Source organism: Homo sapiens, chromosome 8, assembly GCF_000001405.40.
Source record: "Homo sapiens chromosome 8, GRCh38.p14 Primary Assembly".
Taxonomy (NCBI): Eukaryota; Metazoa; Chordata; class Mammalia; order Primates; family Hominidae; genus Homo; species Homo sapiens.
In genome coordinates this window covers 9,550,519-9,577,292 of record NC_000008.11, presented here as the reverse complement: position 1 = coordinate 9,577,292, position 26,774 = coordinate 9,550,519, and the positions used below count along the sequence as shown (strand labels likewise).

General features: G+C 38.0%; 1 protein-coding gene across 3 annotated transcripts in view, besides 4 other annotated features; it reads right to left on the bottom strand.

Moving 5' to 3' along the window:
- Positions 1 to 21,381, bottom strand: part of TNKS (tankyrase) — a 226,435-nt gene extending 205,054 nt beyond the window's left edge. For all 3 annotated transcript variants that reach the window (NM_003747.3, XM_011543845.4, XM_011543846.4), the window contains exon 1: positions 20,681 to 21,381. In NM_003747.3, coding sequence (NP_003738.2) covers positions 20,681 to 21,353 — 673 coding nt within the window. In that variant the 5' untranslated portion in view covers positions 21,354 to 21,381. The remainder of the gene's footprint in view (positions 1 to 20,680) is intronic.
- Positions 20,377 to 21,036: an enhancer, noted in NCBI's record as "NANOG-H3K27ac-H3K4me1 hESC enhancer chr8:9413767-9414426 (GRCh37/hg19 assembly coordinates)". NCBI's record gives its function as "activates a minimal SCP1, AML or CMV promoter by ChIP-STARR-seq in naive H9 embryonic stem cells {active_cell/tissue: H9 hESC(naive)}" and the evidence as "EXISTENCE:reporter gene assay evidence [ECO:0000049][PMID:30033119]".
- Positions 21,037 to 21,698: an enhancer, noted in NCBI's record as "OCT4-NANOG-H3K27ac-H3K4me1 hESC enhancer chr8:9413105-9413766 (GRCh37/hg19 assembly coordinates)". NCBI's record gives its function as "activates a minimal SCP1, AML or CMV promoter by ChIP-STARR-seq in naive H9 embryonic stem cells {active_cell/tissue: H9 hESC(naive)}" and the evidence as "EXISTENCE:reporter gene assay evidence [ECO:0000049][PMID:30033119]".
- Positions 21,119 to 21,278: a silencer, noted in NCBI's record as "silent region_18907". NCBI's record gives its function as "represses an Ori minimal core promoter by ATAC-STARR-seq in GM12878 lymphoblastoid cells {active_cell/tissue: GM12878}" and the evidence as "EXISTENCE:reporter gene assay evidence [ECO:0000049][PMID:35858748]".
- Positions 24,754 to 24,913: an enhancer, noted in NCBI's record as "active region_26983". NCBI's record gives its function as "activates an Ori minimal core promoter by ATAC-STARR-seq in GM12878 lymphoblastoid cells {active_cell/tissue: GM12878}" and the evidence as "EXISTENCE:reporter gene assay evidence [ECO:0000049][PMID:35858748]".

Here is a 26,774-nt window from a genome sequence, read left to right as displayed (position 1 = left end):
TACATTTGTCCTATTCATTTAAGATAAATGCCTCAAAGTAGTAGTACTAGATCAATAGGTATACATTTAAAATTTCACATGTTGCCAAGTTGCCCTCTACCAATTTTCATTTTCAACCAAAATCCTCGTGACCATTCCGTGCACATTTAAAAGCTTTACAAAGAGGCAAAAAAAAAAATGAATTGTTATTTACATTTTTCAGTTCAGATATTTGCTTTTTTACTGTTGAAAACTAAATATATGAATACAGTTGAACTCTTACCCTCAATCCTAGTCCCCTCTTTGCTTCCCCAGAGGTACTATTACATAAATTCAATGTTTGTTATATCATGCAAATTATATACTTTTCAATGTGTGTTTTTTAAACACTTGTGTTTCTATATTTATATTTTATACATTTCATGTTATTATTTGTATATTATGCATTTCATATTCTATGTGATTAGAATATATTTCATATATTCACATTATTTTTGTCAACTTCATATGGTTCAATCTATATTAGTGGAAGGTTGATAACCATAATCCATTCTTCTGGCTGATATGGTTTGGCTCTGTGTCCCCACCCAAATCTCATGTTGAATTGGAATCCCCATGTGTTGAAGGAGGGGCCTGGTGGGAAGTGATTGGGTCACAGGGGTGGTTTCTAATAGTTTAGCACCATCACCCTAGTGCTGTCACATGAGTGAATTCTCATGACATCTGGAGATTTAAAAGTAGGTGGCAACAGGGAGGTGGAGCTTGCAGTGAGCCGAGATCGCCCCACTGCACTCCAGCCTGGGCAACAGAGCCAGACTCCATCTCAAAAAAAAAAAAAAAAAAAAAAGAGGGGGGTGGTGGCACCTCCCGCTTTCTGCTGTCTCTCTCCTGCCCCACCATGATTGCTTCCCCTTTGCCTTCTGCCATGATTGTAAATATCCTGAGGCCTCCTCCCACCCATGTTTCCTGTACAGCCTGCAGAACTATGAGTCAATTAAAACTCTTTTATTCATAAATTACCGTCTTAGGTAGTTCTTTATAGCAGTGTGAGAATGGACTAATACACTGGCCAACAGAAAGACTCAATTTTGCTCAGACTCAATTTTGCTCGGGAATTGGGCAGGAAATAATATACTAAGAGAAAGCCATCCCTTCCTCAGTCCAGAGGAGGAATCCTAATTAAGCCAATCAGGTAATTTCATTCTGCTCTGTCAGTGACTGGCCATGAGGACAGATGGGAAAATCTAGAAGCTTCTGGAAATATGTTTCTCTCTTCTACACCTTCTACAGAAGGTGTGGGAGGAAGAGTGCCCTTTCTCCTCTCACCCTTCCTCCCAACCGTTAGAAAATTCAACAGAATTATTTTTTTAAATGCTGGCATAGAACCCTTACTACGTTCACAGAACTGAAACCAACTCTTGAATTTCCTACCACTACACTTCTTATCAAGCAGGAAAATAAATGTCCTTAGGCTTTAAGTCAGTTGAAGTTTTAAAATACTCATAGTTAAATCCATGCAAATTGATAAAAGCATCTGTTCCTATGTTTACTAAGCATTCACATTTCAACTCTTGTCAGTTCATTGTCTTGGCCATTTTCTTTTGGGCTATTTGTCTTTTTCTTATGATTCTGCAGGCGTTCTTTACATATTCTGAACATTAATCTTTTCCTACATGGATTGTGATTTATATATAAAATTTAAGGAAACCTTTCCTATTTCTGTACTGTTCCTACATTTTCTTCTAGATTATAATTCTTTCACATTTAGATATTTAAATAACTTGTAACTATGGTGTGAGTTGAAATTTTTATTTTTATTTTTCCTTATCTTTTCTTTTTGGTTGGTCAGTTTGTCTATTTGTTAGTATAACTTTAGAATAAGTCTAGATATCTAGTAGGGTAGAGTTGACCCACCTTGTTCCTCTTAAAAAATTATCCGCCGGGCGCGGTGGCTCACACCTGTAATTTAGGGAGGCCGAAGCAGGCGGATCACGAGGTCAGGAAATCGAGACCATCCTAGCTAACATGGTGAAACCCGTCTCTACTAAATATACAAAAAATTAGCCCTGCGTGGTGGCGGGCGCCTGTAGTCCCAGCTACTCCGGAGGCTGAGGCAGGAGAATGGCGTGAACCCGGGAGGCGGAGCTTGCAATGAGCCGAGATCGCGCCCCTATACTCCAGCCTGGGCAACAGAGCGAGACTCCGTGTCAAAAGAAAATAAAAAGATAATGGAGAGATTCACTTGTCTCACACAATTTGTCAAGACAAAGGCAATCCAGGCACACATAGCAGTTTATCAACGGTATTAGGAGCTCCTTAGAATCTTTCCACATTCTTAGCATCTCCACTTGCTTCTTACCTCACAGTCACAAGAGTGCTATATTTCTAAGCCTCATATCTAGGTTCTCAGACAAGAAGGGAGAGTGAGTAAAGGGGGGCGCGGGGGAGCTTTCTCTCTTGACTTTTTTATAATTAAGGAAGAAATGGCATCTCCAGATACTTTCATACATAGTTCATTGGCCAAAAATGTGTCATCTGTCCAGCTACCAAAAAAAACAAAAAAGGCTAAAAAATCAAGTCTTTCATAGCCAGACACACTACTGCCTTGAACGAAATCTAAGATCTGTTAGTGAAGAATTTGAAGAAAATAAATTTGGGGTACATAACCAACAGTATTTGTCACAACTTTGTAAGTCAAGGGTAAGAAGATTGGGTTTCATTGTAAGTATGTGGGAAACCATTTATTAGGGAAATTACTTGATTCTATTTAAATCTTAAAAGGATCATCTGTCAGCTATGTGAAAAACAGACAAGTGAAGAGCAAAATCAGAGGGACTAGTCAAGAAAATTCTGCAGTAGTCTGGGCAAGAACCGATAGTGGGTTGGAAAAAAACAGTGAAAGTACAGCTGGGTCAAAGAAGAGAAAAATGGATAGGTTATAAAGCAAAGATGACTGGCTCTCAGATTTCTAGCTTAAGCAACTCTATTTTTAGAGGCGCCAGTTGAGGAAGGGTCAGGCAAAGCAGGTAGCAACAAGAAGTGTACCCCGATGAACTGCTTTTCTGCAACAACTATATCAAGTAATATAATGTATAAATTTCAGCACATTCTTTCCCCAAACAGTTCATGAGAAAAAATAACATTATATTACATATTCAAAGCAATTTAAAAATATACTATGTGGTGTGCTGGCAGTGAAGAAACCCAAATTCCTAACACATAGCCTAACCCCAATATACTTAACAATTTTCCTTATTCTAATAGCAAAGAGTTGATTAAGGCCTTTCAAAAATATTTCAATATCAAATTTAAGGTCACTGGTATCTATTCTCCATTCACTTATGTTCAGCATTGTAATCCCGCCTAAAATTAAAGCTTCCATGGAACGATGGCCAATATTAAATCATATAACTGACAACTATGACTTCTGAAATTTAATAAAAGAGAAAAATCTGAGGTGTTTGGAATATTTTTAAACTGATGTTTTTATCTATGGCAGCAAAATCACATCTTAAAGTCATTTTCCCCCTAATTAGACTGTCAGCAAAACTACAACCACTGTACATCACTTGAACTATTAATCTTTTAACCTACACTTATATACCAAATGAGAACATTTATATTACATCTCTCATGCTTTTTAAGCGTAAAAAGATCCCATTACACCCAACAGATAAAGTAACTGTAAACTAAGTTTGGGGTTGTCTAGGAAAATAACTCATGGAACTCTCTCATATACATCTATGTGTTAAATTTAATTTAGCCTGAAGTTGCCTCCTTACATATTTAAGGTTAGGCCTAAAGGTTTCTTCATACATACATCTAACTGGATACGTAAACTGAATGTAACCTACTCTTGTACCAATCACAAAGACTCAGCTAAAGGCAGCCAAATGTTCAAACTGTGTTCAAGTAAGGCAAACAATAAGCTGTAACCAACCAAGCTCTTTCTATACCTTACTTTTGTCTTCTGTACATCACTTCCTTTTTCTATCCATAATTGTTATCTGACCATGTGGCAGCCCTGGAATTACTCTGAACCTATTCTGGCTCTGGAGGCTGCTTGATTCACCAATCATTCTTTGCTCAATTTAACTGTTAAATTTAATTTGACTAAGGTTTTTCTTTTAATATGTGACATAAAGGAAATCAGAGAAGCTGAGTTGGGAAAGATAAAAAGGCACTTGGTGACAAATGTGACTTGTTCATCATTATCTTTAGAAACATTAAGAAAAACTAGAATCTAAAATATGAGAATGGCTTGCTATATATATATATATACATATAACATAAATATTACTTTCCCTATCTTAAGTATTATCAGTCCACTTTCATCCAAAATAAAAAGCAAAACAAAAATTCTTAACAATGAAAATATTGCTTTCAATGAAACAAAATTCAGCTATGACACATTTATGCAATACCTATGAGTTTAAAAAAAAGGTTTTTCCCGGCCAACAGACTTGCCATTCACTAGTTTAACACTAGCGGTTCCAGACACTTTTGAGTATCTCTAAAGGTCCACTAAACACAGTAATTCACAATTTTGCTATTAAAAATCGAATGACACCTGTATCTTGGCTGATGTGCAGGAGGCAGCCTCAAAATTATAGAGGGGTATATAGCACAGCAGCCCCATCTCAACATGACTTTCTAATTCTACTCGCTTTCTCGTACAGGTCTATCTTCTAAAGTTCTTTAAAGTTTTCTGTTTTACTATATTTCATGGAGAAAACGTATCTGCTATAGTGATAGTCCCGAAACTAGGAATTAGGGAAAGACTAGTGACATGAAACAGAAGAGAATAAGAGAAAACGTAAGAGAGATAGAGGATGGGAAGAGAGGAAATATTGTAGAAATAATGACAATACTTTTAATAATTAAAGGAAGAAGTAAAAGTTCAGATTAATATATTCATGGAGTGCCAAACAGCATGGACACTTTGTAGCAAAGTCTAACAACAACAAAGGCCATAGTCTTTCAGAAAGAAAACAAATCAGCTAAAAACAAAAAACAAAGAATCAGTTGACTGAAGTCAACCTTAACTATGAGAAAAGACACTTTCATACTTAATTTCATATATAGCTAACTTTATTTCCATGTAAAAGTCAAATTAATCTCAGATATGCAAAATCTCTAAGGTGAACACAGAAAGATCCTGGTTGAAAACACTCATGACAAAAAATGAATTCAGTAGTACGTGTGTGAGCTTATGTCTATATATCATGAATTAACTCAGTACAAATCTATCCTGTCTCAAGACTTAACACTGACTAATAATCACCCTAACAAATAATTACAATATAGGGTTACAAAGAAAACTTAACCAAGTCTGGGATAGAGACCTTCCCTAATAAAGTGATATTATGAGCTAAGATCTAAGGAATAAGCAATTTACCAGACAAAAGGATAGGGATAAATGTTCCAAAGAGAGTAAGGCACAGTAAATCAAGAGGTGAGAAACTCTTTATATTCAAGTACCTAAAAAAGTTCAGAACGGTTCAAACAGAGAGAAAGAAATAGAGACTAAAAGTGGCAACAACATGGAATCCCCGGGCGCGGTGGCTCACGTCTGTGATCCCAGCACTTTGGTAGGCTGAGGCCCAGCACTTTTGGATCATGAGGTCAGGAGATCGAGAACATCCCAGCTAACACGGTGAAACCCCGTCTCTACTACAAATATAAAAAAATAGCCAGGCGTGGTGGTGGGCACCTGTAGTCCCAGCTACTTGGGAGGCTGAGGCAGGAGAATGGCGTGAACCCGGGAGGCGGAGCTTGCAGTGAGCCAAGATTGCACCACTGCACTCCAGCCTGGGCGACAGAGTGAGACTCCATCTCAAAAAAAGAAAAAAACGTGGAATCAACTAACTTTCTGCCCCAGAAATCATGAAGATAAGCAGATCATCCCTCAAAACAAACACAGTATATCCAAACTACAATTCCTTTACTTTATGTATGTCAGTGTGAAGACTAAGACGATTACCAAAGCGACAGAATTCAAATTTCTGCTATGTGAACTTAGATACAGGTTAAGAAACTGCTAAATATAGATAGGTACCTATATATACATCAATCTTGGCAGCCAAAAAGGAAAAAAGGCTACAAGGATTCTTGAAATTCTGCTGATAGTTTTTGGTGTAGCTTCCTTAAATTCAACATAGAATTTGTTGTAGAAATTACTCTTAAGGCCACAGTAGGGAGGAAAAGGTTAAACATAGTACAATGAATGAATCACAGTAACTGGACATCAAATGAAAATGCAGCAAAATGCCCCCGAATGTAATTTTTAAAAAACAAAATCTACCTCCATTTTTAATGGTTGATTTTTATTTATTTTTTTATTTAAGAGACAGGTCTTACTCTATTGCCCAGGCTGGAGTGCAGTGGCATGATCAGAGCTCACTGCAAACTTGACTTCCAGTGCTCAAGTGATTCTCCCACCTCAGCCTCTCTAGTAGCCGGGGCTACAGACATGCCACCACACTGGGTATACAGTAGACACATGACAGCAATGACTTAGCCTGAGCATACCCTGAGAATGACCCTGTATGGCAGATGCACCTCAATGTGTGGTCACAGTTCCGAGCTAGAGAATACAAGAGTGGCCAACCAGGAGATCCATTCATTATCTACAAGGGACATCTGAGTCCCAAGCCCATCATGTAGAATGGAACATGGGCCATATAGAGGATTGAGGCCCTTTGTTTTGGGTTAAAGGTTGCCAGGTAGAGGTTGCTGGGGGAGGCTGTCAAGTGAAAATGCTGTACTAACCGCATGCTTTTTGCAAGCAGTTGGTTATTCTACCCATCCTAATGCCACTGGGCCATGTGGTAATTCTGTCCACCACGCCAGCAAGGGACTGGTGGTTCTGCCCAGCCCACTGCCACTGGAATCTCTTCCCTGTATTTTAGCCCCCAGGACATTATGTTTCATTCATTGGCTCAGGGATCTTTTTTGGCCTCTTGAACCTGCTGCTATCCCCATTACAGTCAATACAGGTACAGCACAACATCTGGCTAGCTTTTTAAATTTTTTTGTAGAGACAGGGATCTCGCTTTATTGCCCAGGCTGGTCTCAAACTCCTGGGCTCAAGCAATCCTCCCACCTTGGACTCCCAAAGTGCTGGGATTACAAGTGAACCATCACACCTGGCCTATATTTATTATTCAATAAATGGTTCAAAAAACACCTGGCATCTGCTTAAAAAAGAACAATTTTTAAAATATTTACCTCTTAATATATAGCAAAATAAATTTAAAATAGATTAAGGTGTAAAATGTCAAAATGAAACCGTAACAAAATTAAGTGGACAGTTGCATGATCTCAGAATAGGAGAAGCAATAGAAGAAAACAAACAAAAAAAATTTAAGGCAATAGATTTGAAAAGTTTATAGATTAAAAAAACACTTTTTAAGGCAATAGATTTCAAAAGCTTACAGATAAAATTTTAAAACAAGCCAGGAAAATATTCACAATGACTTTAACAAAGCACAGATAACAAAGACACCAAAAGGCAAAAGAAAAAAAGAATACGAAGAGATATAATGCCAAACAGTGAATGCCAATTGTCTTTTAAAAGTAAAACAGTGACTAAGAAATGCAAATTAACTAAATATTGCTTTTATCAAACAACTAAAAAGTTTTCAATGTTGACGTTTACAGACGTGTACAAAAATGTTCATAGCAGCACTATTCATAATAGAACACACATAAAAACCACCCAAATACTCAACAGTAGAATGGGTAAGTAGTGGTATATTCCCACAATAGAATTATACAAACAATGAAAATGAACAAACTACAACTATATAAGATAGATGAATCTCCCACAAAATAGTACTGACTATATAGTATCATGTATCACAAGTTCAAAACAGACAAAATCTATGAGTGTTAGAGGGGTAACGACTCAAAAGACATAGGACAGGAGCTTATGGATTGCAGATAATGTTCTGATTCTTGAGCAGGGCACTAGTTACCCAGGTGTGTTCACTTTGTAAAAATTCACCTCCCGGTACACTTATGATGTGTGTGTGCTATGGAGCTATGTCCACACTAAGAAACTATGGTAATAGCTGATGTCGTCCAGGGAGTGATGACAGGAATTATTAGAATCTTTTAGGAAACCAAACGGTATTTGTTCCCAATGATAAAATCTGAGCTTTCAAGGAAATACTAGAATTCTGTAACACTTGCAACTATTGCTATAAGCTTAACAGTTTCCCAATTCTAAAATACTTTTCTGATGAGATTAGTGGCAATATTAACAATTATGCTTATTATTTTTATTACAAAGTAAAATGTGTCAACATTTGGAATATCTGCACAGCTTCAAGAACCAATATTTTCTAAATGCTCAAAACAAGTACAGGTATACCCGTTTCTGGATTCTAACAATGGATTCTAACACAGCAGAAGTATAAAAAAATTCACTGATTTGGCTTCAGATTCTACGTTGCAACTAACCCTTAGGAAACTATTACTTATCAACTGTGGGTACAGAATCAAAGAGAAAAAAGGCAAAATTATCTGACAATGCTATTAAAATATTTCTTCCTTTTCCAACAACATTTTCTGTTTGAAGAAGGATTTTCTTCATATACTTTAACCCAAACAATATACCAGAATTGGCAGGTAGAAGCAGATGAGAATTAGCTATCTCTTTTTAAGCCAGACATTAAAGTGACTTGCAAAGTGTAAAATAATGCTGCTTCTCATTATTTCCTTTAGAAAATAGCTTCTTTTCATTAAGAATGTTGTTTACACATATTTACATATAATGGAGTTTATCATTTTATTTTTAAAATTTCTAATATTATATTCATTTTAAATTTTTCATACGGTAAGTCTCCATAGACAGAACCCACATAAACAAAAATTATTTCAATTATTTTTAAGAGTGTGAAAAAGCAGTGAGACCAAAAAGTTTGAGAAACACTGCATTTTTACTATAAGCTTTCTTAAGGGCAGGAAACATTCCATTCCCATAATCTTGCTCATATTTCTCGAGCTGTTACTGAACTACTCAAAAACCTTACAGCTCAAGCCAGATCCCTGAGAAACAAACCAAGGGGGAAAAACACACCATGGAATTGCCCCAGTGAATGTTAATTAAACAAGTTGCATGCAGCTTGCTTGAATTTCCATAAACACTTCATTAATGCTGAGCTTCATACTGACAGAGAAGGTCTACAGGTCACTCTCAAAAAATGTGAATCAACAGATAAGATGAAAAGAGTATCCTCAACATAACTGCAGAGATTCAGTCTATTAAATATACTATTTTCCATATTTCGTGTTAGTAATATTAAGAAACGCTCCAGGACAATAGAGAGGCTAAAATGTCCACTATGATACCCCCCTTTTTTTTCACTTAAATGTGGTAAAATACACATAATATAAAATTTGCCATCATAACCATTTTTAAATGTAGAGTTCAGTGGCATTACATACTTTCAAACTGCTGTGACTCCAATATGTTTCAGTTACTGTTCAAAAAATTTTTAACTTCTTCTTCCATGAGTCAAAACATACAGCAAAATTTATCTACGAGATTTTCTAACAACTCTATATAGTCTTTTAAAGAAAGTCGTTGCTGGAAGGGTGCGGTGGCTCAGGCCTGTAATCCCACCACTTTGGGAGGCCAAGGCGGGCAGATCACAAGATCAGGAGAACGAGACCATCCTCGCTAACACGGTGAAACCCCGTCTCTACTAAAAATACAAAAAAAATTAGCCGGGCGTGGTGGCGGGCGCCTGTAGTCCCAGCTACTCGGGAGGCTGAGGCAGGAGAATGGCGTGAACCCGGGAGGCAGAGCTTGCAGTGAGCCAAGATCGCGCCACTGCGCTCCAGCCTGGGCGACAGAGCGAGACTCCGTCTCAAAAAAAAAATAAATAAATAAGAAAGCAGTTGCTAAAATATCCTTCCTTCTTCCATTTAGTTATGAGGTTCTTCAAAGATTACTTCCAATCACACTTTTTATGTTTATAAAAACAATCAACTGAACAAAAGACCAGATAGTCCCAACATTCTAGTAACTGCAAATGTTCCAATACCATACTTACAAAAAAGTTTTACTTTAAATGCCTAAGAGAAGGACTGGAGGGAATATGTCAAAATCACTAGTAGCTCCCTTGGGGTGGGAAGATGATGCCCTACTTTTTACTGTACTTTCCAAAATTTGTAAAGTTACGTTTATTACCAGAAAACCAACTTGAGAAAGCAGTAAGAATCGTCAGATTACAAAATGACACAAAATACAGATTTTATTTCTCATTGCTATCAACTTTCCATTTGAGTAGCACAGACCAAATGATTTTACGACAACCAGATTGGGTTTAAATCTGGCACCATTACTTAAAAGCTAGCTATGTGACCTTGGACTCTGATGACAAAAGACTGGGCTAGGCCGGGCGCGGTGGCTCACGCCTGTAATCCCAGCACTTTGGGAGGCCGAGGCGGGTGGATCATGAGGGCAGGAGATCGAGACCATCCTGGCTAACAAGGTGAAACCCCGTCTCTACTAAAAATACAAAAAATTAGCCGGGCGCGGTGGCGGGCGCCTGTAGTCCCAGCTACTCGGGAGGCTGAGGCAGGAGAATGGCGTGAACCCGGGAGGCGGAGCTTGCAGTGAGCCGAGATTGCGCCACTGCAGTCCGCAGTCCGGCCTGGGCGACAGAGCGAGACTCCGTCTCAAAAAAAAAAAAAAAAAAAAAAAAAAGACTGGGCTAATATACGAGGATTAATATTTATGTACTTAAGAATGTCAGAAGATCAGAAATCAGAAGTGTTAACTCAAAAAGTTTACTTGTTCAAATACTTACAGAGCACTAAAACAAGCAATTCATTGAATTAAATAATGAAATTATCTTATTATATACCCCATATTTATCTGCTTTCATAAATTAACATAGGATAACAGTTATATTTTTCTGTTGTTAAGTCTGTGTATTTTGGGGCTGGGGAGAAGGAGGAGGCAGACAACTTTTGATAGCTTGCTCAAAGTTTCAAAAATTTATCCAAAAAGTTTTCTTTTTCCAAATAAGAATATTTTCCTGCAAAGAAGAAAAACATAAGTTGGTACCTCAAGACATTAGAAAAAAATAGCTAAGATGTATTAACTAAGTGTAATTCTATGTCATTTCTTTTGAAAATACCAAATTTCCACAGTCAACATGAGAATAACCCAAGCATTTGGAAGAGGAGACCTGCACATCTTATTAACATGACTGATGAGAATGTCAAAATGGTTTCTACGGTTGATGAGTATTATCAGAATGAGGGCATCAGAACTTTTCAATGTCTACTTACTATGTATATAATATATATGTCAACATATAATTTGACATATATAATAAGTTATATACATGTAGACACAAAAAAGTGTGTATACACACACTTTAACAAGGCATCAGGGAGTTTAGTTTATTTTTATTTTTATTTATTTTTATTTTTTTTGAGACGGAGTCTTGCTCTGTCACCCAGGCTGGAGTGCAGTGGCGTGATCTCGGCTCACTGCAAGCTCTGCCTCCGGGGTTCACGCCATTCTCCTGCCTCAGCCTCCCGAGTAGCTGGGACAACAGGCGCCCGCCACCACGCCAGGCTAATTTTGTGTGTGTGTATTTTTAGTAGAGACGGGGTTTCACTGTGCTAGCCAGGATGGCCTCCATCTCCTGACCTTGTGATCCGCCCTCCCAAAGTGCTGGGATTACAGGCGTGAGCCACCACGCCTGGCTGGTTTAGTTTATTTTTGAACTAATGACACAGAGACTATAGCTTTAAGGTTTTTTGAGTCAATCAGTAAATTTAAAACAAATTTTGTTCAGTTTGGACTTGTAGTTCATGGAAATCATCTGCTAACTACCAAATGCTTCCTCACTTTAAAAGAAAATATACCAAAGAAGAAAAAATAAACAAGTCCAAACATCTGCCACCTACCAGCAGTTTAGTTTGTTCTACTGAAAAGGCAAAAGGGATAGAGAAAAAATTTTACATCACGTTATTTTCCCTCTTCCAAAACCAAAATAAATAAATAAATAAATAACTTGTCTAAATTGAATGGGGAGCTGACACACTCCAAAAAACAGCTTAAAAAAAAGTTTACCCTCACGCTGCTTTAATTCTATAAACAGATACCTGAACAAACTGGCAAAACAAGATTCGAGAAGAGAACTCAGTAACTCGCTCTGGTGAAAGCAAACTTAGACATCTGATGAAGCCTTAAAAGAAAAACAACGGGCACACAAAAACAAAACACCTAAAACTTTCCTCAATTACTTGAAATCAAAGTGATTTTTTTTTTTTAATGAGCCCCGGGGTTATCCTGAGCTCCTAGGCTTTAGTAGAAATCCCTAGGAAACCCACCCTACTCATTTTTTCTTGAAGATATAATGCTTTTTATTCACCAAGAAACTGAAAGTCCATTTCTGAATGTTTCTTTCTCGTGTATGTTTCATTGGTTTTATTAAGCCCCGTAAGGGGAGGCTGCACCTAGCCCTCAGACTCCAACCCATCTTATCTTAACTAATCCTATTCAATTCTTACTATAAGTATCTATTAATGATGCATGGTATTAGGTGCCTCAAGAGCAGGGCTACACCAAAACTTAGCTATCAGAAGAATAAACATAAGCCAAAGTAGCTTCAAGGACAATGACATGGGGAAAAATAAAAAGGTAAGAAGCAACTGCCTTCAATTTTATCTACTGCAATATTTTATAGTAAGCTACCCAAAGATTCTTTGTCTATGACACAAAAGGAGGCTGTTAAAAATATTAAAGACTAAACTACTATAGTGTTTTCTCCCTCATGTCATCACAGAGCTCATGTTTATTCCTTTCCAAAACCAAACCTAACATTACAATAAAATTTATTTTCTCAGAATTATTCACATTCCTTGATTACTTTTCTTCTGGATTCTAAGCTTGAGATTTTTTTTTTTAACATATTTATGCTCACAACTCGACCTTTGATGATATGCCTCCTATCCTCCCAATGTATTTCTCTGGCCTGTTAACTGTCAAAGAATCACTTCCCGTCAGGAAAGAACACCTGGCCTGTGACCTATTCAATTCATTGATGGGGTAGGGAATGCTTTACAGGTGACTGGACTACACTTACCAAAAAGACTAAATAGTAATCTATCAGGAAGAGACTTTATCTATAAAATGCCCTTAGCACAATGTCTCCGGTTAAGGTTCCTGAAAAAATGTCTCATAGGTTATATAAACAGAGGTATAAAATGATGATGTTTCATAATTTAAATGCTACTACTGTAAAAGATGATCCTGCAGACCTTACTGAGAGACTTGATCTATTCTAGGCCAGAGCTGCAGGTGTAGCACAACAAAAAGGGACAGGGGGGATTACCTTAACTATCTCAGACCTTTATTTTTATCCTTGAAATTATTTAGTAATTAATTTCTGTAAAAATGAGCAACGAAAGTAACTGAGGTCAAATACATACAAAATTCTTACAAGAAGAATTTGGAGAATAACATCCCCGCAGACAATTAATACCTAACAGAAAAAAATGCCCACAAAGCAGACAAAATTATAATCAATTATTTTAACACTAGCTAAAAGAGAATACGAGAATGATACAAGATATGAACGTATAGCATGTGCCTGAGTTAGAAATAAAAGGAGAGAGTTCAGAAAATAATTCAAAATAAAAGAAAAAATAATTTCAAGAAAGGACTACAAAAGAAAGAACACAAAATGGAAAAAATGCCACATATAATGCCTTATAACAGAGGTCAGCAAACTACAACCCATACACCAAATCTGGCCCATCACCTATTCTCATAAATAAAATTTTACTGGAACACAATCACACTCATTCATTTACATATAGTCTATGGAAACTTTCACAGTATAAAAGCAAAACTGAGTAGCTATGAGAGGGACCATATGGCTACAAAGCCTAAAATATTTACTATCTGGCCATTTACAGAAAGTTTCCAACTCCTGCCTTAAGAAAAATAGAAGATGAAAGGAGAAAAAAAGTTAATAAAAAAAGAAGATATATATTTTTTAATAGGATTCAAAAGAAAGTGACAGTTATCAGGGGTTTGGGGGCAGATAGACATAGTTTAATGGGTACAAGAGCTTATTTAAGATGACAAAAAATGTTCTGGAAATGGACAATGGTGATGGCTGCATAACATGGCGAATGAACTTAATGCCACAAAACTGTACACTTAAAATGGTTAAAATGGTAAATTTTACATATATCGTATTAAAGAAATGGAGCAAGTAACAAATTTAGAAGAGGCAAAGTTTCAATATACATAAAAAGAAAAGAACGAATAATAAAAAGTATAATTTGAGAAACTTTTCTGAAATAAAAGATCTGAAACTATGTAAAGAAAAGCCATACCACATACCTGAGAAAATCTATCTAGAGAAACGAACACCAAGACATACTGTAATAGAATATCTGGTCTTTAATGGAAGAGAAAAAAAAAATCCTTTGCCCATCTAGAAAGAAAAAAAAAAGGCTAAGGGAAGGAAATTCCCATTCTCATCAGACCTTCAACATTAACAGCTCTTAGCAGGTCCTTGAAAAATAAAAGTTTAGGTATGGAAGAAATGATGGCCAGATGCAACATAGAAGAGGTAAGTAAAAACCCTATAGTTCTGAGTTTGAATTGGAAGTATCAATATTAGTTAATGAGGTAGATTAAAAGACACAGATTGTCAGAATGTCTTAAAAAGCAACACTCACATATATACTGTCTATAATAGACACACTTTAAATATAAAGGCAGATTGATTGAAAGTGAATGAATAGAAAAATGCCACACACAGCATAAGAATACTGAAGTGGATATAGTCACATCTGATAAAATGTAGCTAAAATCATAAAGATTTTCATAGGATATGTATGAGAACTTCTATGACTTGGGGCCAGATAAAAGTTCTTATCCAGGTGATGAGTCAGAGAAAGCAATAACCATAAAATAAATATATAAATTAAATTTAAAATTTCTATTCAAATGACTCTCATTAAGAAAATTAATCAGTAATTCATAGCCTGGGAGAAAATATTAGCACATTTATCCCACAAAGCACTAGTATGCAGAATATATAAAGTACTCTTAAACTTAATAATAAAAGATAACCCAACAAAACTGAATAAAACTGAAGTGTGCCCAGTAGAAAAAAAAAGGACAAAACTTCATAAAAGATATATAAGGCCAGGCGTGGTGGGTCACTCCTGTAATCCCAGCACTTTGGGAGACTGAGGTGGATGGAACACCTGAGGTCAGGAGTTCGTGACCAGCCTGGTCAACATGGTGAAACCCCGTCTCTACTAAAAATACAAAAATTAGCTGGGCGTGGTGGTGGGCGCCTGTAATCCCAGCTACTCAGGAGGCTGAGGCAGGAGAATCGCTTGAACCGAGGAGGCAGAGGTTGCAGTGAGCCAAGATCGCACCATTATACGACAGCCTGGGCAACAAGAGCAAAATCAAACAGCAACCATCAAAAATCGTTGATGGGAATGTAAAATGGTACATATACTTTGGGGAAAGGTGTTGGCAGTTTCTTATAAAACCGGACATTTACCTACCCTAAGACCCAGAGATTCTAATACTAGGTATTTGCCCAAGAGAAAGAAAATCCGTGTCCACAAAAAGGATTTTATAAGAATGTTCATTGCGACTTTATTCATAATAGCCAAAACAGGAATCAGCTTAAGGGTCTATCAATTGAAGGGATACACAAACTGCAGCATATTCATATAATGAAATCTACTCAGCAGTAAAAAGAAACTACTGATACACGTTACAAAATCAAAAACATGCTGAGCAAAATAAGTCTTACAGAAAGACTAAATATTGTATGACTGCATTTATATGAAATTCTAAAACAGGCAACTCTTATTCTATAGTGGAAAAAACATCAGAATGGTGGTTGCCTGAGGGAAAAGGGGTAGTGACAAGATTGAGATAAGGGGTATGAGGGAACTTTCTGAAGTTTCTATAAGGAAAGTCATAAGTTCAGTTACACATGTATCTGCATTTGTCAAAACTCAGTGAATGTACACATAAGATTTGCACAGATTTCACACTAAAAGATAAATCTTTACACAAATACTGAACTTAGATAATGATATGCAAATTAGCATATTTGGAGAAGCTGCACAGATGCCTACTATTTACACTCACATGCTTTAATAAAAAGATGATTGACGGATAAAAGAACATATATGTAGGAATACACATGTAATAGAAATTGTACAGTATTATAATTTATGTAAGCATTTCTCTATTGTTGAACAGTTGGCTTGTTACAAATTTTTTGCTATTAGCAATAAATTTACATATCATCTTATAAATGGCTAATTTGTTCTTTAAATCATTTGCTTCCAAAGAGCAGTATCATTGAGGTAAAAGAAAGAGACACTTTGCACATCTTTCTAACTAAAAGTTCTCTGTAAACTTTTTTTTTTAAAGAGGTACCTTCAGAAAAGTGTTAAGGTTTTAAGAAAACACTAAGTAAAAGGTAATCCAGTTTATAATCAACAATTTTAAGTCTGGGAAGATATTTATGAAACTAGGTCCCTTTCTTCTATTACCAAATTAGACCCTTCTTACATCCTCAGACAGGGCATTTGCTTACAAGTAATATAAAGGATCTTGCCAGGCAACGAGAAGTGTAAGATAATTCCCACTCCAAGACTGCAGCATTCTGACTCATTTTATTACCCACTGATAGGCAACAATCTAGAGTATATGGTGACTTCTATTATTAACAGGAACGACATTTGTACAAAGGCGAGAAATGAAAAAAAAAAAAAAAAAAAAAAAAAAAAAAGACAAGTATGGCCATGCTGAAAAATCTAGAGAAGAGTCAGGAATGAGTTGAAAAATCTCTGTACTGTTAAATATGTATTGTAGTAGATACCATTAAAAACAAAACCCAACAAAGAAAACTAGTTTTTATTTTAAAATACCTCACATTACCTATCATAATCCAAGTCGTATATGTTAACTAACAGGAAGCCCATTTCAAGATTTCTTCAATTTCATGTAAATACTATAAAATCTCAGAATTTAATGTTTTACTAAGGCCTTAATAAAAAAAAGACCTCATTTAAACTTTTCTATAAAAAGAGACGTCTTCAGAATATATGGGTCCTTTAACAAAAATATGTCACTACTAGAAACCATCCTAAGGAGGTATCACTCTAAATTGGTACTATTTATAAAACTATTTTGACTGCTATACTTTAAATAATAGAAAACCAGGGTCAAGGACCACATCTGTAGAAGAAAAAGTCTCATATAAATTCTAGTCAACAATAAAAGAATGGCTCATCTTTACAAAGCCATCTTACAAAGGCATCAAAAATAGTATTTTGAGAACCTGTATCAACAATGGAAACAAGATTTTGTCTTAACTGCAGATAGGATGATTCCATTATTAACACAGTCTCTAAACCATATTCTAAACAAATTATCACAATCCAAGATAGGATACAAAGGATTCTTAATTTTACTGCTGGAAAGAATATGATTATTCTTAAGGTAATATAAATAAAGTGATAAGGATTTAAATATGGTTTCATACCACATCTGAGATCTTTAAAAATGATTTCCAAATACCACATGTTCTCACTTAAGTAAGTGGGAGCTAAACCTTGAGTACACATGGACACAGACAAGGGAAGAATACACACTGGGGCTTACTTAAGGGTGGAGGGTAGGGATGGGGGAGGCTGAAAATCAAAAAACTACCTATCTGCTACTATGCTCATTGCCTAGGTGATGAAATAATCTGTACACTAAAGCCCCCAAGATTCACAATTTACCCATGTAACAAACCTGCACATGTAATCCCTGAACCTAAAAGTTGGAAAGAAAAAAAAATTGTTTCATTTCATTCTATAGAACTGTAAACTCATTTTTAAAAATAAATAAAAGCATTAGTTAACATCGTCCCTTCCAACCTTTGCTTGGCTAGCTTGGGCTCACCCTTTTAATTCCTGCTTTAAAAAAATCTACCTACAAAGACTTCCTTAACTGCTCTAAAACAAGGATAAGAGCTCCTATTACATATTGGGACAGACAGTATAATATACGTTTCCTATCACTCTAGATTAGACACTAGATACTTTATAGGTTTTTGTTGTTGTTGTTGTTTATGCTTCCCCACTAGACTGTAAGCTCCATAAGGGTTAAGGGCTGCTTGCCATTACACAATTGTGTCAGTATTTAACACCCGATCATCTAAGCACACTAAAATATTTCTGGAACAAATAAACTGCAGTTTTTAAATTTTTCCATCCAAGGGATTGTACCAATTTCTCATCTTTAAAACAGCTATTCCGTGACAATTCAATTACTATCATAATAACCAGTCAACTGATAATTTTTTTCATTTCTCAGCCTATACATGATAAAGAAGACTAAAGTTTAATAAAACTTTAATGTTACGAATTCAATCACGGAAGCGTGGCAAACTGACTACAGGACATTATGTTTTCATATCGAGAATTTTATTACTGTGTTTTCCACAACTGAGCTAAAAACTTTCTTAAAAAGCCAATTCAAGGTTAGCTTGTCATAACTACAACATAATTACGGTACTGTTTGATTGTTTATCTTCTAGCTTATCTGGATATACATAAAACTCTGAAACAGAATAACAAGTAACTATTGTGGCAAATAGAAGACACGTGATTTGAGAAACAAGCACTATTTTGTGTGACTTATCCTAAATACATTAATACACATAAATATAACTATCATTTATTGGTGATTACGCATAAAGTGGGATGGTGAGAAATGACATGATTTGTGACGCAATTTGTTAAAATAGGCAAACTTGGAATAAAGTATGCAAAAGTAGACACCTCTGTTGATTAATAAAATCAGACTTAGGCCTTTCATTTAGCCTAAGGAAAAAGAAATGCTATTTCATCTAAAACAAGCAAGACCCTTGAGCAAACAAATAGGCAAAAGTCTGTTTCTGATTCAATTCACTGCATTCCTAATAAGTAGTGTCTGTATATCAATAATGAATCCAGTGACCTAACAATGATTTCCTTTAAGTGTTTCTCATACCACTGGTCACGACCCATTAATGGATCACAAGCAGCATTTGCTAAAAATGAAACAGAATAAAATATAAAATATCAGAGGACAACACATGTATTAAGGGAAAGTATTGTTTCCAGAAACTTTTGATTCAGTTGCGTATGTGACAATGTAAAATGTATTTCTAAGTATGGGCTACAATAAAAAACATGTGAAAGCTACTCTCTTGCATATAAGCCCCTCCGCATTACTACTTCTCCCAAAAATTGGGAACTCTACACTTCAATTACTCACAAAAATGAAAAGTGACCTTAATCCAGGGTTCTGACAGTTTAAGTTTGATTTCACAAGCTCTAAAATCAAACTGCCTGAATTCAAACTCAATTTCCACTATTTCCTGACTGAATTTGGACTTATTTAAGCGATCGATATATGCTTCACTTTTGTCATCTGTAAAATGGTTAATCATATCTCCCAAGTGTGGTAAAAATAAATACTACAGTGGGTCAACACATGTTTTACTGTTAACAGAACAAACTGAAGAAGTGATATATATATATATTAGAAATATAGGAGAAACTTAACAGAAGTTATCTCTGGTGTGTTATCTCTGATGTTTCTGTGTGATGCCTTTCATTTTGTATTTTTCTGTCCTATTTGAATTGTATAACGTACAATATATGTATTTCCAATATAATGTTTCTAATGTATAAAACATTATTACCTACATTTTTAAAATATCAACAATAGGTATCCAGGCAGTGAGATTATGGTCCTTTGTTTTTATTTTACAGTTCTCTTTATTTTATAAACATATTATTAGGTGTCTTTGAGAGAAAATCATCAACTACTTGCAAAAAAAAAAAAAAAGACAAGTGTGGGGTCCAGAGCTTAAGAAATTCACACTTTTTGAGGGAGAACTTTGTGCCAGATACTTCTCACCAAATGCTCGCACAACATCATTTTATGATTTTTGCCCATGAGAAAACTGAGGCAACTGACACGAGGTAAATGGTCTGCTAGACAACAAATAATAGTGGCCACAACATCAAAGCCTATATTTCTTCCATCATCATATAATGCATCCAAATATTCTTCTCCAGTTGTTTCACATTGGCATATTTTGGTCTCCCCGTCTAGACTGCAAACTTCTTTAGAAGAAGGGAAACTTTCAAACACTTCATTTATGTCTTTCATTGGGTTATTAAGGCTACAATAGATCCTCAAACATGTGTTGGGTTGTATTAAACCTCTTTTGGTCTGGACTGTCCTCAAAGGACATACCCTTGTAAAAACAAAATAAACTAGCACACAAACGACAAAACTACTCTAAAGCTGTCCAAATCTAACTGTATTCCTGCACACCAAAAACTAAAGTGTAAATATATCCATATGCAGAGACTACCAACTACAGTGAGTTTTGTAATGAGTACTGTGCAACCACTGAAGAATTCCTTGGATTCACTTATCCCCCCCAACCACGCCCCCATCACCCAGGCACCACCAAAAGAAAGGAACCTCCAGTCTTCTGGTGAGGTGATGAAGAACCATAACCACGCCCCCACTTTGTCCCATCACAATAACCTGTTTTCTTGTCCTAACCGGACCCTGCACCCAAACCCATAACCCTTAATAAACAATTCAAAAGTCTCTGACCTGCAGCGAAGTGCAGGGGAGAAGACTTCCGGCCGGCCATGTCCTTTGCATTTACGTTTGCCGCGTCCACCAGCCTCTTTACCCGGGACACGTCCCCATTGCGACAGGCCTCCAGCAGTTCCCGTAGGGCCCCGCTCACTGCTGGGACCCCTGTCCCAGGTCCTGCTGCCCCAGGCCCCAGTGGTGCTGTGCTGCTAACTCCGGCCGCCTCGGGGCTCTCCGCCAAGCTCGATCCAGGGGAGGATGGAGAGGAAGATGAGGAAGAAGTCGGGGAAGAAGAGGACGACGGTGAATTGTTACTGCCACTGCCGGCTGGGTTGGGAGCGACCCCAGCGGCAGATGAAGTAGAAACCGCTGGGACCACGGGAGCGGCGGCGACGGTACAGATTGTGCTGGTGGTACTGCAACAGCTGGTACCGTCAACCGGGTCCGGGGATCGGGGCCTGTCGGGCGGATCCCGACTGCCATCCCCCTCCGGCAGCGCTAGGCCGTGCCGCGGGGAGGCGAAGGGGGCCAGGCCGCTGGCCGTGGGAGAGGCTGGGGTGGTCCCCGGGGCCAGGCCAGGGCTGAGTGGGGGAGGAGGTGGCGGCGGCGGCGCTGAAGCCCCTGGGGCGGGCTGGAGCTGTTGTTGATGATGGTGGTGATGATGCTGAGAGCGACGCGACGCCGCCATCTTCGGACTCCCCTAGCACTGTCACTGCGGCAACGGCCCCCACCGCCCGCCCTCACTTCCGACTGTCGGACCAATCAGCATCCAGCGCACAGGAAATGATGCTAGGCGGGGTAGCAGGGGCCAAAGAGAAGGAGGGAAGTATTGGGAGCTCAGAGAACAGCCAAGGGAACGGGGCGGGGCTTTGTCACTGAGAGGCGGGCTTTGTGACGTGGTGGCGGGCCGGCTGGAGAGATTTGAATGCTGGAACCAGCTTCTGCCTAGATGGGAAACATTTCCTGCATTTCTCACTTTCAGTCGGCTTTCTTTGCCCTGCTCCGCTCTGTTTCCCTTAGTCTCCCTTTGCTTGCTCCAGAGCCAGCTGTTGAGATGCAGATCAGAGCAAGCAGGGAATGTGTCCGTTATCATCTATTAAGCGTCCTTGTCTGAAAAATGGAACTTATAGTACCAACCTCACAGAATTATTAGCGGGATTAAAAGAGCTAACAGACAAAGCGCTCTGCCAGTAAAACACAAGTATAATTAGCCCGTTGGTAATTTTTTAAATTATAGTATTTCTTTTCCAGGTGTCCCCTTGAGCTCTTGTCCCTTCCCTATAATTTTTCTCACCCTATGTGCTTTAATTCCTCGTTTTTAAATGCTGGTTCAGATTGCTAGGATTGGCGTTCCAGCTCTGCCATTTGTTGTTTATATATGTACTTGCTATTTCATCACTCTATGCCTGTTTTTCTCTGTAAAATTGAAATAACAATAGTGCAATAAGTGTGAATTATTAAAATTATGATTTTTTTTTCCTATTCTGCTCTCTCTGAAATTTTATTTTTCACCCTAAGTGTAACTAATTATGAATATATTCCTTTCTTTTGAATTCTGGCTTAGCTTAGCCTCTCCCACACCCGAAACAGATAAAAACCTGATTGCTAGGCTGGTCACGGTGGCTCATGCCTGTAATCCTAGCACTTTGGGAGGCCGAGGCCGGCGGGCCACTTGAGCCCGGGAGTTCAAGATCAGCCTGGCCATCACGGCGAAGCTCCATCTCTACAAAAAATACACAGATTAGCTGGGCAAAGTGGCACATGCGTGTAGTCCCAGCTACTCAGGAGTCTGTTGGGAGGATCACTTGAGCCCGGGAGGCAGAGGTTGCTGTGAGCCGAGGTCACACCACTGCACTCCAGCCTGGGTGACAGAGGGCGGAGACCCTGTCACAAAAACAACAAGAAAACATAACAAAAACCTGATTGCTGTCCATTACTCACCATCAGGTGCTATTTTTCAGCAACTGCTTTTTCTGTCTTTCCCCCAACCTATGTATACTTTTGTTTTTCTACTATCAAAAGATGTATCCATGAATGAGATAATCCCATTGAGGACTCCATTTCATACCTACTGTTCAATAGTAAAGCAGGCATTGTAGAAGTATACAGAAACAGCATTATTCCAATAGAGTGGACACAGATGGAAATTCTGTAAGAGAAACAAGATTTAGATGAGTCAAGCAGAATATTAAACTAGGTGATAAATTGTTTCATGTGTTCATTGTTAAATATGATTTATGTGATGTTAATATTCCCATTTAAGTAAATAGATGAGTTTATTTGGGGTTAGTAAGTAAATACAATAAGGTCAGGAACATAATTAGTATTACGAGTGGCATTTATTTTCATCTAATCTGGGGTTACAGATTATAATTCTTAACATTATCCAGCTGTGTGATGAAATGTGCCATTGTTCGCAGTAGACACCGGACAAAAAGTGTAGCTGGATAGGAAAACTCACATCAGTGCAACTAAAATCAGTCCACAACATTCTTCTTCATGCTTCTGTTTTTTAATCTTAACTTCTTGATGTACAGCAGAGAACCATTGAGAAGTGGGAGTGATCCAACATGATATGTTAGATATCCATAACACACCATGTGTCCCCTAAATAATGGCCTCCTGGAATGGGAGGCATAAGAAATATCTCATCTGGTCTCCCAGTGGTCAGTTACTCATAGAAAGTAGTGATGTTCAGACTTATTCAAAATGCATCTGTTGTGTCTATCAGTACAAAAAATAATAATAACAATAAAATAAGGAAGTCTCTGCTGGACAGAGATTTTTAAAAACTAAATTGCCGGCCAGGCCCAGTAGCTCACACCTGTAATCCCAGCACTTTGGGAGGCCAAGGTGGGCAGATCACGAGGTCAGGAGTTCCAGACCAGCCTGGCCAACATGAGGAAACCCCATCTCTACTAAAAATACAAAAATTAGTTGGGCGTGGTGGTGCGCGCCTGTAATCCCAGCTACTGCGGAGGCTGAGGCAGGAGGATGGCTTGAACCCAGGAGGCAGAGGTTGCAGTGAGCCGAAATCGTGCCACTGCACTCCAGCCTGGGTGGCAGAGCAACATTGTCTCAGCAAAACAAACAAACAAACAAAAAACAAAAAACTAAATTGCCTGAAACTGGACTGGAAAACCATGTCTGGAAATGCATTCAATCAACTGGAAATTGCTTTCTTCCCCTCGAGCAGAAAGTAGGAAAAGTACTTAACATTAAGTATTTATGAAGTTTGGGTTTATACCGACTAATGTTGAGCTCCAAACATGAAAGGACACATGCTATTACCTAATCTTCTGTGGCTAAACACAATTCCAGGAGGAATGCACTATATCATAGTGGAAAGAGCAAAGCTTGGGGTCAAACAAACCTGGGCTTGAAAGTCACATCTCTGATGATTACTAGTTGGCTAATCTTGATAGGTATGCTTCAGCTCTCTCAGCCTAAAATGTTGACCTTAGTTTAGCACTGTCATGAGGATTAAAAGCCTAGGTGTTTTTTAAGCACTCTTTGAATGTTAGATCCGTTCTCTTACATGGCATGCATAAAGTGTTAACATGAACTCACAGCCACTATTGATAGCTTTCCCCTCGCAACTTCCTTTGTGACAAAGATAGGGGCTGGGAATAAATATCCATCGTTTTACACAGAATGGGAATCTAAAGCAAAGAAACATTAGGTTTAATTCTTTCCTTATCTGATAATTCAGGATTCTTTATAAACTCTGTCTCTAAACTATTGTTGATCACAGGTGTGTAGTATCTTATTTTCATAAGCGTTTTCACAAAAACAATATCCTGGCCGAGTACAGTGGCTCACACTTATAATCCCAGCATTTTGGGAAGCTGAGGCAGGAGAATGCTTGATCCCAAAAAATCAAGATCAAAGATCAGCCTGGGCAACAAAGTGAGACCCTGTCTACACACACACACACACACACACACACACACAAAGTATACCCAAGTACTACAAAAATGGGAGCACATAGCACTCTCTTAGGCTATACTGTTGACACAAAAGAAAAGCCACCAACTCAAAGGACACCGATCTTTTGGGCTGTGTTCTGATGTTTGCTTTCTTACCCTATGGGGTTCGCATGGACACTCTGAAAATTACACAATCATGAACTTGCACAAGTTCCATATTTCAACTGGAATTGGTGTGTCATTCCATCCATATACTTCCCATTGATCTCCCACCGTATTTGGTATTCTGGTAGTATTTCTACTAAGTCTAGTTATTCTTCGATCCCCTCTGCAATGCCTCCTCCGCAAATCCACGAGCACAAGCCAGAGCTGTGGTTTGGCTGAGGCATGTCATTTCCTCATTTTTGGTCTTACCGAAACATAATAAGTTATTTTTATGTCAGAAATGTCTATGGTGCCAAGGGCCCAGATTTCTCTATAAAAGTGTTGCGTTCTCTTAGTTGAAGTTCCATCCAGAAACCCAGGTGAATATTTTTTTACAAAACCACAGATGGGCAATGATGCCAACAGCTGCAATCGTACTAACAACATTGTATCAGAAAAAGCTTTACCAAAAAAAAAACAGGTAAAACAACTTATTACAAGACAGCAAAATTACAGTAATTTAAAGATATCCTCTGTATCAGTTTCTTAGCAACTCTCCCATTAAAGTTTTAGTAGCTTTATAAGATAGCTCTTACATACCAGGGTCTTCTGGCTGCTGCTCCAAAGACATCTGTAGCCTGCACTGAGATAACTTGGATTTTTTCTGGCTATGGTCTGTACGCTCATGGGTAGTCGGTTTAATTTGAAGTGTTAGTTCCAGGCAGAGAGTTAGTTCCGGGCAGAGAGGTGGTTAAAGGTGTGGATTCCACATACAGACTGCTTGGATATGAATCCTAGCTTTGTCACTAACTAGCTTCGTATGATTAAAGGATATTACATCATACATTTTAACAGGAATAAATAAAAATCTATTTGCTGTGCTTTAAAAAAAGAAGATAAACAAGTTTTCCCACCAAAAATGTTCCTTTCCTTGTAAGCTTTTTTTCCAAAAGTAATTAAAATCATACATGTATACCCCATTACGGATTTGCATATGACTATATCACTCAAAAGAGATAAACACCTGCCCTCCCCCAAAGTCATAACCATGTTTAGAAAAGGCTCAGAAAGTCCTGAAATGCATGGATATGGAAGGGTATAACTAGCCAACAACGCATATATAATGATGTAATGGCTTATGCAGATGGATATAGCTAACCAGAATAGAGCTGATGCAACTGCAAACCAAGAGACTGCAAGGCACCCAGAGGACTCACCCTCCCCAATCAGAACATGGGGACAACCCACCAAGCCATGATGAATGTGGATTCCCGCCACTGCTTGAGGGGTCGTGACTACCACATACTGACCGTGAGGTGACTCCAACCAATGGCAAAGATTGGGGCAAAGACATCTGCCAGCAGAGACCATCAGAAATACCGGCTGAGAATGAGTGGCAGCCCAGGCAGTGAGAGGCATTAATCAATCCCCAAACATGTGGTATGTGCCTTCCACCCACTATCTCCTTTTACTTGCTTGCTGTTGTTACTTGGCTTGTTGAAAGAAGGAAATGAATGAAAGCTGTTTAAGTGGTGTATGTGTGTAACTTCTCTTGGTATTACCTATTCCTCCATATCCTGAACCTAGGTCTTTTGATGCTGAGTTGCTCAGAAAAAAATACTGTACAATCCAGGATAAGTCATTTAACCTCTGGTATGGTTTGGCTGTGTCCCCACTCAAATCTCATCTTGAATTATAGTTCCCCAGTCCCCACATGTCATGGGAGGGACCTCGTAGAAGGTAATTTAGTCATGGGGATGGTTACCCTCATGCTGTTCTCATGATAATGAGTGCGTTCTCATGAGATCTGATGGTTTTATAAGGGGCGTTTCCCCATTTTGCTCTGCATTTCTCCTTGCTGCCACCATGTGAAGAAGGACATGTTTGCTTCCCCTTCTGCCATCATTGTAGGTTTCCTGAGGCCTCCCCAGCCCTGTGGAACGGTGAGTCAATTAAACCTCTTTCCTTTATACATTACCCAGTCTCTGGTATGTCCGTGTAGCAGTGTGAGAACAAACTAACACAACCTCTTTGTA